General features: G+C 39.3%; 1 protein-coding gene across 8 annotated transcripts in view; it reads left to right on the top strand.

Moving 5' to 3' along the window:
• Window positions 1-12,695, top strand: part of ITPR2 (inositol 1,4,5-trisphosphate receptor type 2) — a 497,843-nt gene that overhangs the window by 138,736 nt on the left and 346,412 nt on the right. For all 8 annotated transcript variants that reach the window (XR_001748686.3, XR_001748687.2, NM_001414174.1 and 5 more), the window contains 3 exons: window positions 7,827-7,978; window positions 11,786-11,885; window positions 12,425-12,585. Coding sequence is in view for 6 of the 8 variants with exons in the window: in NM_001414174.1 (NP_001401103.1) it covers window positions 7,827-7,978; window positions 11,786-11,885; window positions 12,425-12,585 (413 nt within the window). In the remaining 2 variants the exon portion in view is untranslated. The remainder of the gene's footprint in view (window positions 1-7,826; window positions 7,979-11,785; window positions 11,886-12,424; window positions 12,586-12,695) is intronic.

Raw genomic sequence — 12,695 nt, 5'->3', positions numbered from 1 at the left:
TGTGTAAGGTGATTTGGGGAGGATTTAAGGAAGTGAGGCTTTGCTGTGGAGAGAATGTTGTCAGGAAGAGGAATTCTATAATTGGTATCTTAATAAATTTTACCTATAGGGAGGACAGGCTTCTAAGGAAGCAACAGTCACTCGTATTAGTTGGGGGAGAGGGATATTTAGTCATTTTTGTGGCTTGGACAATATTCATATTTTGTCTGTGTTTAGACATGATTAGGGAATGGTCTTGTTTTGTCTTGATCCATCACAGTCACAGAGTGGCCTTGTCTGATGACATTCTGTGAAATTGTTCAACAGAGAACAGTATGGCCTTGCTAAGAGGACCAGACCACCTATTGGATGTCAGGGGCTGCTGCTTTTCTCTTTCACAAGGTTTATTTTTGTAATATTCTGTGTGACTTCTTCAGCATCGTGTAGGGCCAAGAGAGTCTTGTTCTAGCACCACCATTAACTTGTGTGGCCTTGGACAAGTGAGATAGCTTTCTTGAGACTCAGTTTCCCCACCTGTGTAATGGGATGAAGATGTTCGTCTTATGTACTTCACCTGCATGCCATGAGGATAAAATAAGATCAGACAGATGGAAACTCTTTGAATTTGTAAGTTGTTTCTAGTAAAAGAGCATCATATCAAAATTTCAAATTGTACAAATTAATTAAATCTCTGTGCGCATCTCCTTTCTACTACATAATATTCGGTGATACAGCTGATGATTTTGGCCTGAGCAGAGTGGGAGAATACAGTCTTCCTCCCTATCCAGTGGTTTTGCATCTGTGTATTCAAACATCCACAGATCAAAAACACCAAAATATAATAATACAAATTAAAAAACAATACAGTATAACAAGTATTTACCTGGCACTTAGATTGTATTAGATATTATGACTAATCTACAGGTAATTTAAAGTATATAGGAGGATATGTATAGGTTATATGCAAATACTATGCAATTTTATATGAGAAACTTGAGCAGATTTTTGTATTTGCAGGGGGTCCTGGAACCAATCCTCTGCAGATACCGAGGGTTGACTACATAGGGTATGGAGGTTCTATGGAACAGCACAAACTGTATAAATGATCATATATCCATGGTGAAGTTCACTCTTTCTGTTAATCAAGCTTTTAGTTAGACTTGATAGCTTTTCTTCTTTTTATTCGAAAAAACAACTTCTTCATTGACCTCTAAAGGTGAGAAAGAGTGCTCTTCTGTTTAAGCCGTTGTTACTGGCAATACTTTAATTGCATTCAACACAGATGGGTCTGCTTTTGCTGTAGATGTTTATGACTGAGTCTCATCTGTCATCTCAGGGAGACATCCAACTGCAGACAGTTGATTTAATTTTTTTTCCTCTCCAGAATACCTAGCTTGAGAGCAAAGAAAATTGAGAATGTGGAGCCATAAAGCTAACAATATGGCTTCCTATTTTATAGAACATTTGCCACAGAGCAATAATTATTTTTCTGTCTAAAGAAGAAAACAAAGGAGCTGTTAGAGTTTATCTCCAGCCTGTGAAATATGCAATCAGTTTCCCAAAACAGAATACTGTTTCACCTCAGATCTGGGTTCCAGTAACACTGACTTTATTATGACCATGCTAATTTTTTCTTTCCTAGTTTTCCTGACGTTGTCTATGTAATGCCCAGTTAATATTTTTTTTTTGTAATTTAGAAACATTTATCAAAATGTTGCCTTCCGTATTTGAAGTTTCAAAGGTTCATGCATGGTGCCACTGAAATGAGGCGGTGTGTGTCAGAGCTCCCATTAAGACACAAATTGCTGTATTTATTCTACAAAGGAGTCTATTATTTCCAATATTACAAATGTACAGCATCCACAGGGACCCTGTAAACATTGGAACCGTGTCAAGCCCAGCTGGGAACCTGACAGTCATTAGTTTCTTCTCCTTGAAAAGCTGCATCTTTTCAGATGGCTCTTTGAAGGGGAATTTTTTGGAATTAACGCTACCCATCTTAACATTACCATATTTATGTGGAATATGATCTGATTTTTCTTGGGAATGTCTGTTTTAGATATTGGAATTTCTGGCCATATTGGGCCAGATAATTCTCTGTTGTGGTGCAATGGCTTTTGCCTGTAGGATGTTTAGCAGCATCCACACCCTCTACTCACCAGGTGCCAATAGCAGGTCCCTGATTGTGGCAACTAACAATGTGCCCAGAAATTGCCAATGCCCCCTGGGGGCAAATATCATTCCCTGTTGAGAACCACCGGTCTATGTGCATTTATATACATCAACAGAAATGTTCCAGGAACCAGGGAACTTTGTGGAAATATAACTGAAAATCCTGTGTCCATAGAATTTGGCGGGGGGGCGGTGTACCAGCTTCTGACAGACCCTCAAATTTTCCTGAGTACCAGATTCTGACCCCCGAATTTCCTTGTTTTACTATATATTCATCAGTGACAAGGTGATAAGGAAAACACAGAAACAAAGGTTCTATCAGAAATTAATTGGAGAGTAGCAGTTTGTTAAGGAACCTCGGCAAGAGAAGTATTTGCAGCTGTAAATGGCAGTGTTGTGTGCGGTTACATAAAGTCAGTAGTGAGAGCCCTGGAGGATGTGAACAAAAACACACGTGCATGCACATCGTTATGCTGCTGTGGCCGCTCACAGGTCTGAACCAACTCTGCAAATGCAGACGTTTCTTACAGAATGTCTCTGGCTCCCAACAACAGAATTGCAACGTGATGTCTGTGCTAAAAATTTGATGACTCACAAATGAGTCAGCAGAGAAGGTGTTCTAGGGGCTGACTGCTGTGCGGATGCCTGCAGGCCCCAGGACGGCAGGAGAAGCAAGGAGAGCCATTAGTTGAGTTGACTCAGCTGGCTTTTCGTAGGGGCATTTTCTCCATGTACAACTTGAGAGGCTATGTGGCTTTCTTTCTGAGTGAAAAATGCTCGTTTGATTAAGAGCTCAGTAGACCAGGTTAACATTCCAAGGCCCTGTGTTACCCTAAATTGAGAATGTTTTGGAGAGCTAGCTGAGGTTAAATTTAATACCTGTTTAAGTTCTGTCGTACCTTAATGTATTTTCATGCTGAAGAGAGAGGGCGTTGCGCTTCTGTGATTCGGTGTGGGGAACTAGTGTTTCTGTGTCTTTTTTCTTAAAAAAATCAATGTGAGTTTATAAACAAAAGCCACAAGGACACAATTTTAAACTGAATTGTCTTCATGTTATAAAGATATATTGACTTTTTTCTATATTGAGGCTTGAATCATACATTAAAAATTGTATACTTATCACACGTTATTCAGATGTCATTAGAGGCTGGCTTGAGGGGCACATTCCAAGGAGTGGGCTTGAAGTTTACTGTCAGACTGTCTACCAAGAGAGTTTATTAAGCAAATTAACAGAGTGCAAAAGAGTGAAAGCAGAATGCTTAAGGCTACAGCACTGTTTTAAAAAACTTCTAAACATGTTTGAAGCTCTTATTCACACATAAGCAATTGTTATATGCTCTTTATAAATGGAGATTTTCTTTTCATTAAAGCTATTTTCCAAGAACCTAAGTGAACTATTTAAGGGTGGAATAGCGTATTCTACTTATCCTATGTAATTAAAATAAAACCACAGGTCTTAAACAGTATGAGTAATTCAGAGTGACCTCTTTTAATTAACCCTAACTGGTGAGTTTTTTCTGTGTTTGGAAGACAGTCTAATTGTTGCAGTGTGAGAATGTCAAAATAGAGAGGTCCCTGACTACTCTTGTTGGGCCTTTACAGGGAGACATTACCAAGGAGTGTAGGGTAGGAGGGCATTCTGTAGGAACCTGGGTCTGATCTTTTCTTATAAGTCTAGAAAATTTATTTCATTAGCATTTTAAAAGAGGGATAAATGCAGGAGGATTAACTCCTTCTAAATAAACTCACAAAAGACTGATGAATAAACCACAATGCCAACTTTCAATTGCCAAATAGACCTAAATATTTGGCTCAATTGGTGCATTTTCCTTGAAGGAGAATATGTATCAAAGGCTAAATTAGAATATTGGGGTGCAGGAGACTCAGGAAATTAGATGACACATACTCCTTTTAAGGATATGCTATTTTTCCAAGAAGACTGGCGCTTGCCATTTATTGCTTCTACACTAGGCAATGGTGAGAGAAACTGTTTTATTCTCCATTTATTTGGGTTACATGCTGATCTTCTGTTAATAAGCCTTTATTCAAACATGGTTCAATATGACTGATAACATTTTATCTTCCTTAGTTAATATTATGTTTTATTTGTGCCTTCCCAATATTCCACTTAAGCCACTTGTGCCCAAATCCCATTGCCGTAATAGTCACAAAAATCCTTTAGGTTATTTGTATAACTGACTGATCTTGTTCATAACTTCTGTGTCCTTATATTCCGAGGCAGTCTTCTCTCACATGTATTTACAACACTCAGTGTGCTTGTGGCTCTTTCTTTTGGCTACAATAGGGTTCCAAAATCCAGGAAAAAAAGCTCTTTTCCAATATTTCTTTGTGACTATAATTCTCCTGGTCTATTTCTCCCCAAGTTTTCATGTTACTGGGGATATCATTAAAAACAAACATCCTTTGTTTTCTTTTAGAATTATCACATCCTCTTCTAAACCTCCTCCTTCCTTCCTTTTGTATGCCGTGTTCTTCATAATCATTGTCCTCTTCAGTATCAGATGTCACTACAGTTTTTAACCTTGACAAGGAATTCCTACTTGCACATGGTCTTCTACTGGGCCCTGTAAAAGAGGATTGCATAGACCTTGTTCAGGCCTTCTTGCGTCAGCTGTTTGCAGTTGGACAGCAGTGTGGCTTTAGTGTCACCATCAGATTTCAGAGCCTTCAGGGAAAACTGCGTCTTTGCCATCCATATCTTATTATAACACCTAGATTTTCATGTTGAGGTACATGATGTAGATCAATGAACCAACACACTTTTGAGTTTGCCCTTCCCTCCATCCTTCCCTCCCTCCCTTCCTTCCCTTTCTTTCCCACCTGCCTCCCTCCCTCTCTTTTTTTCTTTTTTCTTTTCTCCTTTTTATCTTTTTGAGACAGTTTTGCTCTGTCACCCAGGCTGGAGTGCAGTGATGCAATCTTGGCTCACTGTGGCCTCGACCTCCGGGCTCAGGTGATCCTCCCACTACAGGCTCCTGAGTAGCTGAGACCATAGGCGTGTGCCATCATGCCTAACTAATTATTGTATTTTTTGTAGAGATGGGGTTTCGCCATGTTGCCCAGGCTGGTCTTGAACTCCTGAGCTCAGGTGATCCACCTGCCTTGGCCTCCCAAAGTGCTAGGATTATAGGCATGAGCCACTGTGCCTGGCCTCTTTTTCATTTTAAAACTGTATATAGTTAAGGTATATAACATGATGTTTTGATACACATATGTATAGTAAAATGTTACTCTAGTCAAGCAAATTAACGTATCCATCATGTCACATAGTTAACTTTTATTTTTGTGATAAAAATACCTAAAATTGACTCTCTTAGCAAATTTCCAGTATACAGTTATTCATGTATATTATTGAGTTATTTAAAGACATTTAGACTTTCTTCTTGAGGGATGAGAGGGTGGTTTTCCCCCTCATATATTTTGTCTTCAATTCTTAGGCTTCCTCATCCTTCATGCAAATCACCGTGAAAGTGGGTCCCAAGACCCAAGATAACTTTTTCAGAAGACTTGGGGGAGGGTCTTAGCCATGAGTTTTTATTTACTCTTAGAGGAGTGACTCATACAGTATTTAAGGGCCTCAGGCCTGGCCTCTGGCTTGGGTTGGCTTGGATTCAGGCCCTGGTCAGTTGAATTTGGGGCTGAGCATTCATTACCACCATCTACTGCTCCCCTCTTGTTCTCTATTCTTTCTCCCCACCTCCTCTCCTTCCTTCTTTCCCTCTTTTCCCTTCTCCTTCTTCTTCCTCTGCTTCTCCTTCTTCCTCCCCTTTCTTTTTCCCCTTCCCTCATCTTTCATCTTTTTTAGGTAACTGCACTCATCTCTTTGCTCAATGGAAATTATAATGCTTACCTTTCTCTCTCTTAAATTTTTTGTTGTGGGATTAATGAGAACAACCAAAGGAATGGCTTTGGTATTGTGAGAAGCTTTGTATAAATTCAGAAATATCAGCCAGGTGCAGTGGCCCACGCCTGTAATCCCAGCCTTTGGGAGGCCAAGCAGGGAGGATCGCTTGAGCTCAAGAGTTCGAGACCAGCCTCAGCAACATACTGAGGTCCAGTTAGTACAACAATTATAAAAATTGTTGATGTGGTGTGTGGTGGCACACGTCTGTAGTCGCAGCTACCCAGGAGGCCGAGGTGGGAGGATCTCTTGAGCCCTGGAGAGCGAGACTATAGTGAGCCTTGATTGTGCCACTGCACTCCAGCCTGGGCAACAGAGTGAGACCTTGTCTTAAAAAAAAAATTCAGAAGTATTATTTGCTAACTGTTTCTGCATTTTCTTCCTTCCTACATGCCCATACTCCCTTATGATGTATAGTATGCTAAGTATGCCCTTTTCTAGTCAATAAACAGAGTTTATATTTACAAATAAGAAACTACTGTTATGAGGGTCACCCTTTGTGGAGAGTTTGCTGAACCCCTGCTTTCATTTAACTCTGAATTTTGGTCTCTGTGGAAGACACAGAAGTCAAAGATGACGGGAGCTACCTGGTGCTGTGAGGCTGTGAGGGCTTTAGCAGATAACAATCCTGCTCCTGTTTAGGAACGCTGGCAGTTCCCTCTGCCCATTCCCATTTCAACGGTGCTACCATTTGTGCACCATTTACAGAAGAGGCCAAAAAGCAAGGCTTTTTGATCCAAGTAAAATGATATTAACAATCTCTGGGAGGGGGTAGGGACTCCAAGTGAATGTTCTGGGATGATCAGGGGTAATATCTTGTTGTCGCAGCAGCCATTGAAGAAACGCTTGTCCATGGATATAGGCTGCTTGCATTTGCCTTTTGAGCATCCCTTCCTTCCCTCAGTTTCATTCACCTTCCTGTGATAGTGCAGTGACAGTGTTTCTGTCTGTCTTTCTTCCACTCTCATTTTCAGATTTCACCTGTTTTAATAAATATGTGTAAGTCACTATTTTTATCTACTAACTACCAAGCTTATATTGCATCCCTTGTTTTGGTTTCTCGTGCAACCAGTTCTTCCATGGGGTACTGGGACTTGGGGAAGTTCTAGTAAAAACACATACTCATTAATCTCTTGTTGGTTTCTGCTTAAAATGGTAGGGTGTGCTGGAAGCATTGACCAAGTTCCACATCACTATGAAGGCTTCTGTGTGTGGAGATCTCCTTTTATTTTATTTCTTATGCAATTATAGTATGTTCTTGAATCTAGGGGAGCAAGCAGGTGGTGAAAGGGAATGTTGCTGTTGATTCTGCTCCTCTCCAAGTATTATTATGCCTGGGGAGTTAGGTATGAACTCCTGCACACTGCCATGCTTACTTTAACTTCAGAAATCTAGATGATTCAACACACGGGCTCTTCTCTGTGTTTGTTTTAACTGTGGAATGGTCAAAATTACTACTTTGTAAATAGGTTTAAGAGAACGAGGGAAGGGTCCATAACTATTGGTACCGTTAGTGCCTTAATGATGTGGGCAGATCAAGCCACCCCGCCCTAGGAGTGTGGGACTCATCATTGTTGACAGTAATTACCTCAATGGCTGTCGGGCTAGAGCTAGTGTTTCTGGATGATGTGAAATAGACACCTCTTCAATCCAAGGAAGAAATAACATGCACATTTAAACCTTATCACCTGATTAATTGGAGAGTTTAGCAAGAAACGTGATAAAAGTAAATAAACTTGTACTTCCTCAACAGAGAGATGGAGTCCCTCCAACTTCAAAGAAAAAACGCCAGGCAGGGGAGAAGATCATGTATACTTTGGTTTCAGTCCCGCATGGCAATGACATTGCATCCCTTTTTGAACTAGATGCCACAACTCTTCAGAGAGCTGACTGCCTGGTTCCAAGGTAAAAAAAATTATGGTTAAAAGATGTTTCTTTGAATAATTATACCAGTAGGTGAGGAATGAAAATAATAATATTAATATATTTTTATGATATCAAGGGAGCAAACATAAATGAAGAAAAATGTGTAAAACATTGTATCTCTTCTGTGAGGAGGTTAACATAGTTTGTTTTATTCTTATTAATAATTAAAATGTGCAGGACCAAAGAAACTCTGAAAAATTTATAAGAATCATTTATTCTTATTACTTGTATGGCCTTTGGTTACTAAAATGAAAAATAATATAAAAGTATTTCTATTTATATATTTATCATTTATTTTTATTATGTCAGATTTCCCATTTCATTCATCCATTTGTTCATTTATGTAGTCAATCAGTCAAGAAATATCTATTGAACATCCATTACATTCCAGGCATTGCCCTTGGCATTGGGAAGACAACAGTGAACAAACTGGTTATATTCTCACATTCAAATGGGGGAGACAGGCAGTAAACAAAACAATAGACATAAAATATTAATATAAGGTCAGGTAATAAAAGTGCTTTGAAGAAAAAATGGAGGGTATGGAGAGTTCTATTAGGTAGGAGTGTTCAACTGTGGCCTCTCTGAGTTAGTACATTTGAATAACGATCTGAATGAATTAAGGAATCAAGTCCTCTCTTCCTAGGAGGAACATTTCAAGCAGCAGGAACACGAAATGAAAAATGTTGAAATTTACTGGGTGTTTTTAAGGACCAGTGAGAAGGCAGAGTAATTAGACATAAATGAGGGAGGGGTTGTGGGATTGGAAATGAGATTGCCAGAACTTAAGGTAAGACAATATCTTACATTCTTTTGCTTGAATTTGACCATTTTATTTTACTTTTCATTTATTTATCTTTTTTGAGACAGGATCTCACTCTGTTGTCCAGGGTGTAGTGCAGAGGCACAATCATGGCTCACTGCATCCTCTACCTCTGGTACTCAGGTGATCCTCCCACCTCAGTCTCCTGAGTAGCTGGGACTATAGGCATGCACCACCATGCTCTGCTAATTTTTGTATATTTTTGTAGAGATGGTATTTTGCCATATTGCGCAGGCTGGTCTTGAACTCCTGGGCTCGAGGGATCCACCCACCTCAGCTTCTCAAAATGCCGAGATTACAGGCATGAGCCACCACGCCCAGGCTGAATTTGACTAGTTTAGTTAAGCTTTTTTGTCTACAACTGTCCATCTTTCAACCATAAGGCTATGATGCACTCTCTAGATGCATCGAGGAGTCTTGCCCATATTATTAGGGTTAGTGGGATGGCTCTAAATTGGCCTTGATGGAGCAGTATTGTGCTTGGCCTTGGCAGATGGCAGTGGTGAAGCTGAAGGCACCTATGCAGAAAGGCAGGCATTGTGTGGGTTTCCTCCAGGGAGGGTAAAAAGTTACTATAATAACACTATTGAGAAACATTGCTGGTAGAGCTTCCCAGGGTGTTTTATGGCTATTCTCATTCATGAGAAATGTTGCTGAATTTCATACCTTATATGAGTCCATCTCTCACTCTTTTTTTTTTCCATCAATATAAGCCTGTAAAGAGATCCTCTCTGGTTTTACCTGACCCAGGTCTCTGGCTTTCTCCTCCCAGGACTGGGACCTTAATCAATCCTTACTATGACTTTACTTATTTTAGATTTAAGTCAGCAAAAAGGGAGTCCTTCTTGAACTCTAACCAAGAGAATTTGCTTAAGGAAATGATAAAAGGGTCTTACTAGAAAGTGTATAGAACCACGATGAGGGCCACTGAGCCTCACTTTATATAGAATAATTAATCTATTACTTTTCAGAACTGTGGAAGCCCTATTCAGTGTAGTGCAGAATTTTGTATTAACATCGATTCATCTGTCATTAATTGTATTCAAGCCAACATTAATTAATGCTTAATAACTACTATTATAATATAACTCTTGAAGCACTTTTTATGTATTAAGTCCTGTGTCAAGTTCTTAATAAATATTGTCTTATTGCATACTGGCAGTAACTCTTACAGATCAGGAACTAGAGACTGAGTTGGAACAGTGGTTCTCAAGCTGACTGTAAATTAGAACCACCTGGGTATTGTTGACACCTCACCATGCCCTGGCCACACTGAGACCAATGAAATCAGAGTCTTACAGGTGGGGTGCAGGCTTTACTCTTTTTGAAGCATTTATTACCCAAGTGATTCCACTGTGGAGTCCAGTGTTTCTCAGACTTTATGGTCCAATGCTGCTTAAACTTTATTCTATACTAAATCACCAGGGGACCTGATGACAACTGAGTACAAATTACATCTCCTGTGTAATTCAATGCAGAAGATGCCAAGTGATAAAACAGAGGCATTTCAGAATTTCTAGTTATTTGAACAAAGATTGGAGAACTGCTATTTTAGATATTTGAAGCTCAGTTTGTATTTTATCTACTTTTATAAAGGAGCAGAACCAGGTTGTTGAATGAATCTCTTTGCCTGAGTCCCTTGGCATTTTATTTGGTTTTCTTTTCTTGGCCCTAATGCTTTTTACCTTATGTTTTAAGACGTATTTATGCCTTATCTTTACACTGATCTGTAAGCAACTTGAAGGCAGAGTACTTACTGTGCTTTTCTTTTAATAGACACTATACACATATTTGTTAAAGAAATAACAAAAGATTATAAAAGATTTACTAAAAACGGTAATACTTGAGTAGGATGAAGTTCTAGGTGTCCTTTCTTAGGCATTCTCTCACAGTTCATATCTAGTCAATCTTTAAAATTCATGGTACATGGAATTAGCAAATACTGAACCATTGTTCCTAGGGGAAATATAGAGTTAGGTTCCTGTGAGCTTCTGGTCGCAACATTTTTGTTGACGAATACATAGCCTTGTTCTATGTGTGCTTCTGTTTAAATACACCTTATTTAATGTACGTTGCTGATTCATTAACATTGAACTTGTGGTCAACAGCACTATAATTCATGCATGAACGAAGCTCATCTAGCACAAGTATTTTCTTTGTAAGGCACATCACAACCTTCTTGTGCTTTAGGAACACTAGATGGCACTTCTACACCTCATGTGGGGGCCATCTTATTGTGAAATATGAAAAACATGGCACTAAATGGGCCACAAAAAGGACACTTGTTTATAGCATGAGAGCTGAGACAAGAAGGCAGAGCATCACCTTGTTCCACTTCAGCTTGGAAATGTGCCTACTGGGCCACTTAAATTTTTGCCACTCTATGTATGTTCTGGAATGACCACAAAAGCTCCTTGAATATTGATTTGGGGGCTACAAATAAATTTTACCGAACAGGAGAATTCACAAGTACAGAAGCCACAAATAATGAGGATTGATTGTACATTAATACTTTCACATGCAGACAATTAAACTACACAAACTACACTACTGTCTGCCAGCAGTGTTAGCTGAGTTGGCTATTTGATCAATGTTCTTAGTTTAGCATGCATCAGAACTGCCTGGAGAACCTATTAAACCACTCATTGTTGGGCCACACCCCCAAAGTTTCTGATTCAGTCGATGGGGATGAAGTTTCAGAATTTGTATTTCTAACAAGCTCCCAGGCAATGCTGATGCCACTGGTCTAGGGACCACACTTTGAGAACTACTACCTAGGTAAAAATGCTGCATGCTTTGAAATAGTCTATAATTCCGAATTTCCCCTTAAAGCAGAGGGATCTTGAGTCAATTACTAGTTAATATGTATTTATGTTCATATAATATATGAAACTGTTAAAGATGTTAATATGTAAGTGTGCTAATTTTTTATAATTTGTTTTTTTATATTGTTTTGCTTTTAGGAACTCATATGTTCGGTTAAGGCATTTATGCACCAACACATGGGTAACCAGTACTAGTATCCCCATAGACACAGATGAAGAGAGGCCTGTTATGTTAAAGGTAAATGTCACTGAAGATGGTTTAATTTTCAGCCAAATGCCATGAGAATAGGATTAGGATAGGAATGCTGTGTGACACATGTTCCTTATACTCCATCTTCACCAATATTACAGATCATTGCAATTAATTTCATCAAGCATGCATGTCTGCCAGTTGCTTAGGTAGCTGATCTAAATGGGTTGGAGGCAGCAAAGCTGTGATTCAGAAGGATGCTACAGAGACACCAGAAAGAATGGTAGCAGCATATGGATGGAGGAGTAGAATCCAGGAGTGCCTTTTCTCTACTCTGTCGAAACTGAAGCAGAGGGCAAGTGTGAAAGGGAGAAGTTTCCAGTGGGGCTTTGGGAACAGGGCAGGAAGTGGGCACAGGAAATCTCTGTGTCCCTGCAGCCTTTCATAGTGGATGATGCATGTGGGAGTTACTGTGTTCGGATGATCTATTCTTGTCTTATATTTCTTAAACAGTACTAGATGTGTTAGTCTTCAAAGAATATTGTATAGTTGTTTATAAAACTAAGCTTAATGGAAAAACATTTCAGATTGGAACCTGCCAAACCAAAGAAGATAAAGAAGCGTTCGCAATCGTGTCTGTTCCACTGTCTGAAGTTCGAGACTTAGACTTTGCCAATGATGCCAATAAAGTACTAGCGACCACAGTTAAAAAGCTAGAAAACGGCACAATAACTCAGAATGAAAGGAGGTAACTCTTTAAATTGGTCTTAAATAATCACGAGTCAGTTGTCAATTGTTATAGTAAGCCTGATATGAATGAATGACTCTAAGGGAATATTCAGAACATTCTCGATAGCA

The sequence above is a fragment of the Homo sapiens genome, chromosome 12 (assembly GCF_000001405.40).
Source record: "Homo sapiens chromosome 12, GRCh38.p14 Primary Assembly".
NCBI classification, from domain to species: domain Eukaryota; kingdom Metazoa; phylum Chordata; class Mammalia; order Primates; family Hominidae; genus Homo; species Homo sapiens.
Note: the sequence above shows the minus strand (reverse complement) of the source record. Positions and strands in the feature narration are given on the sequence as shown.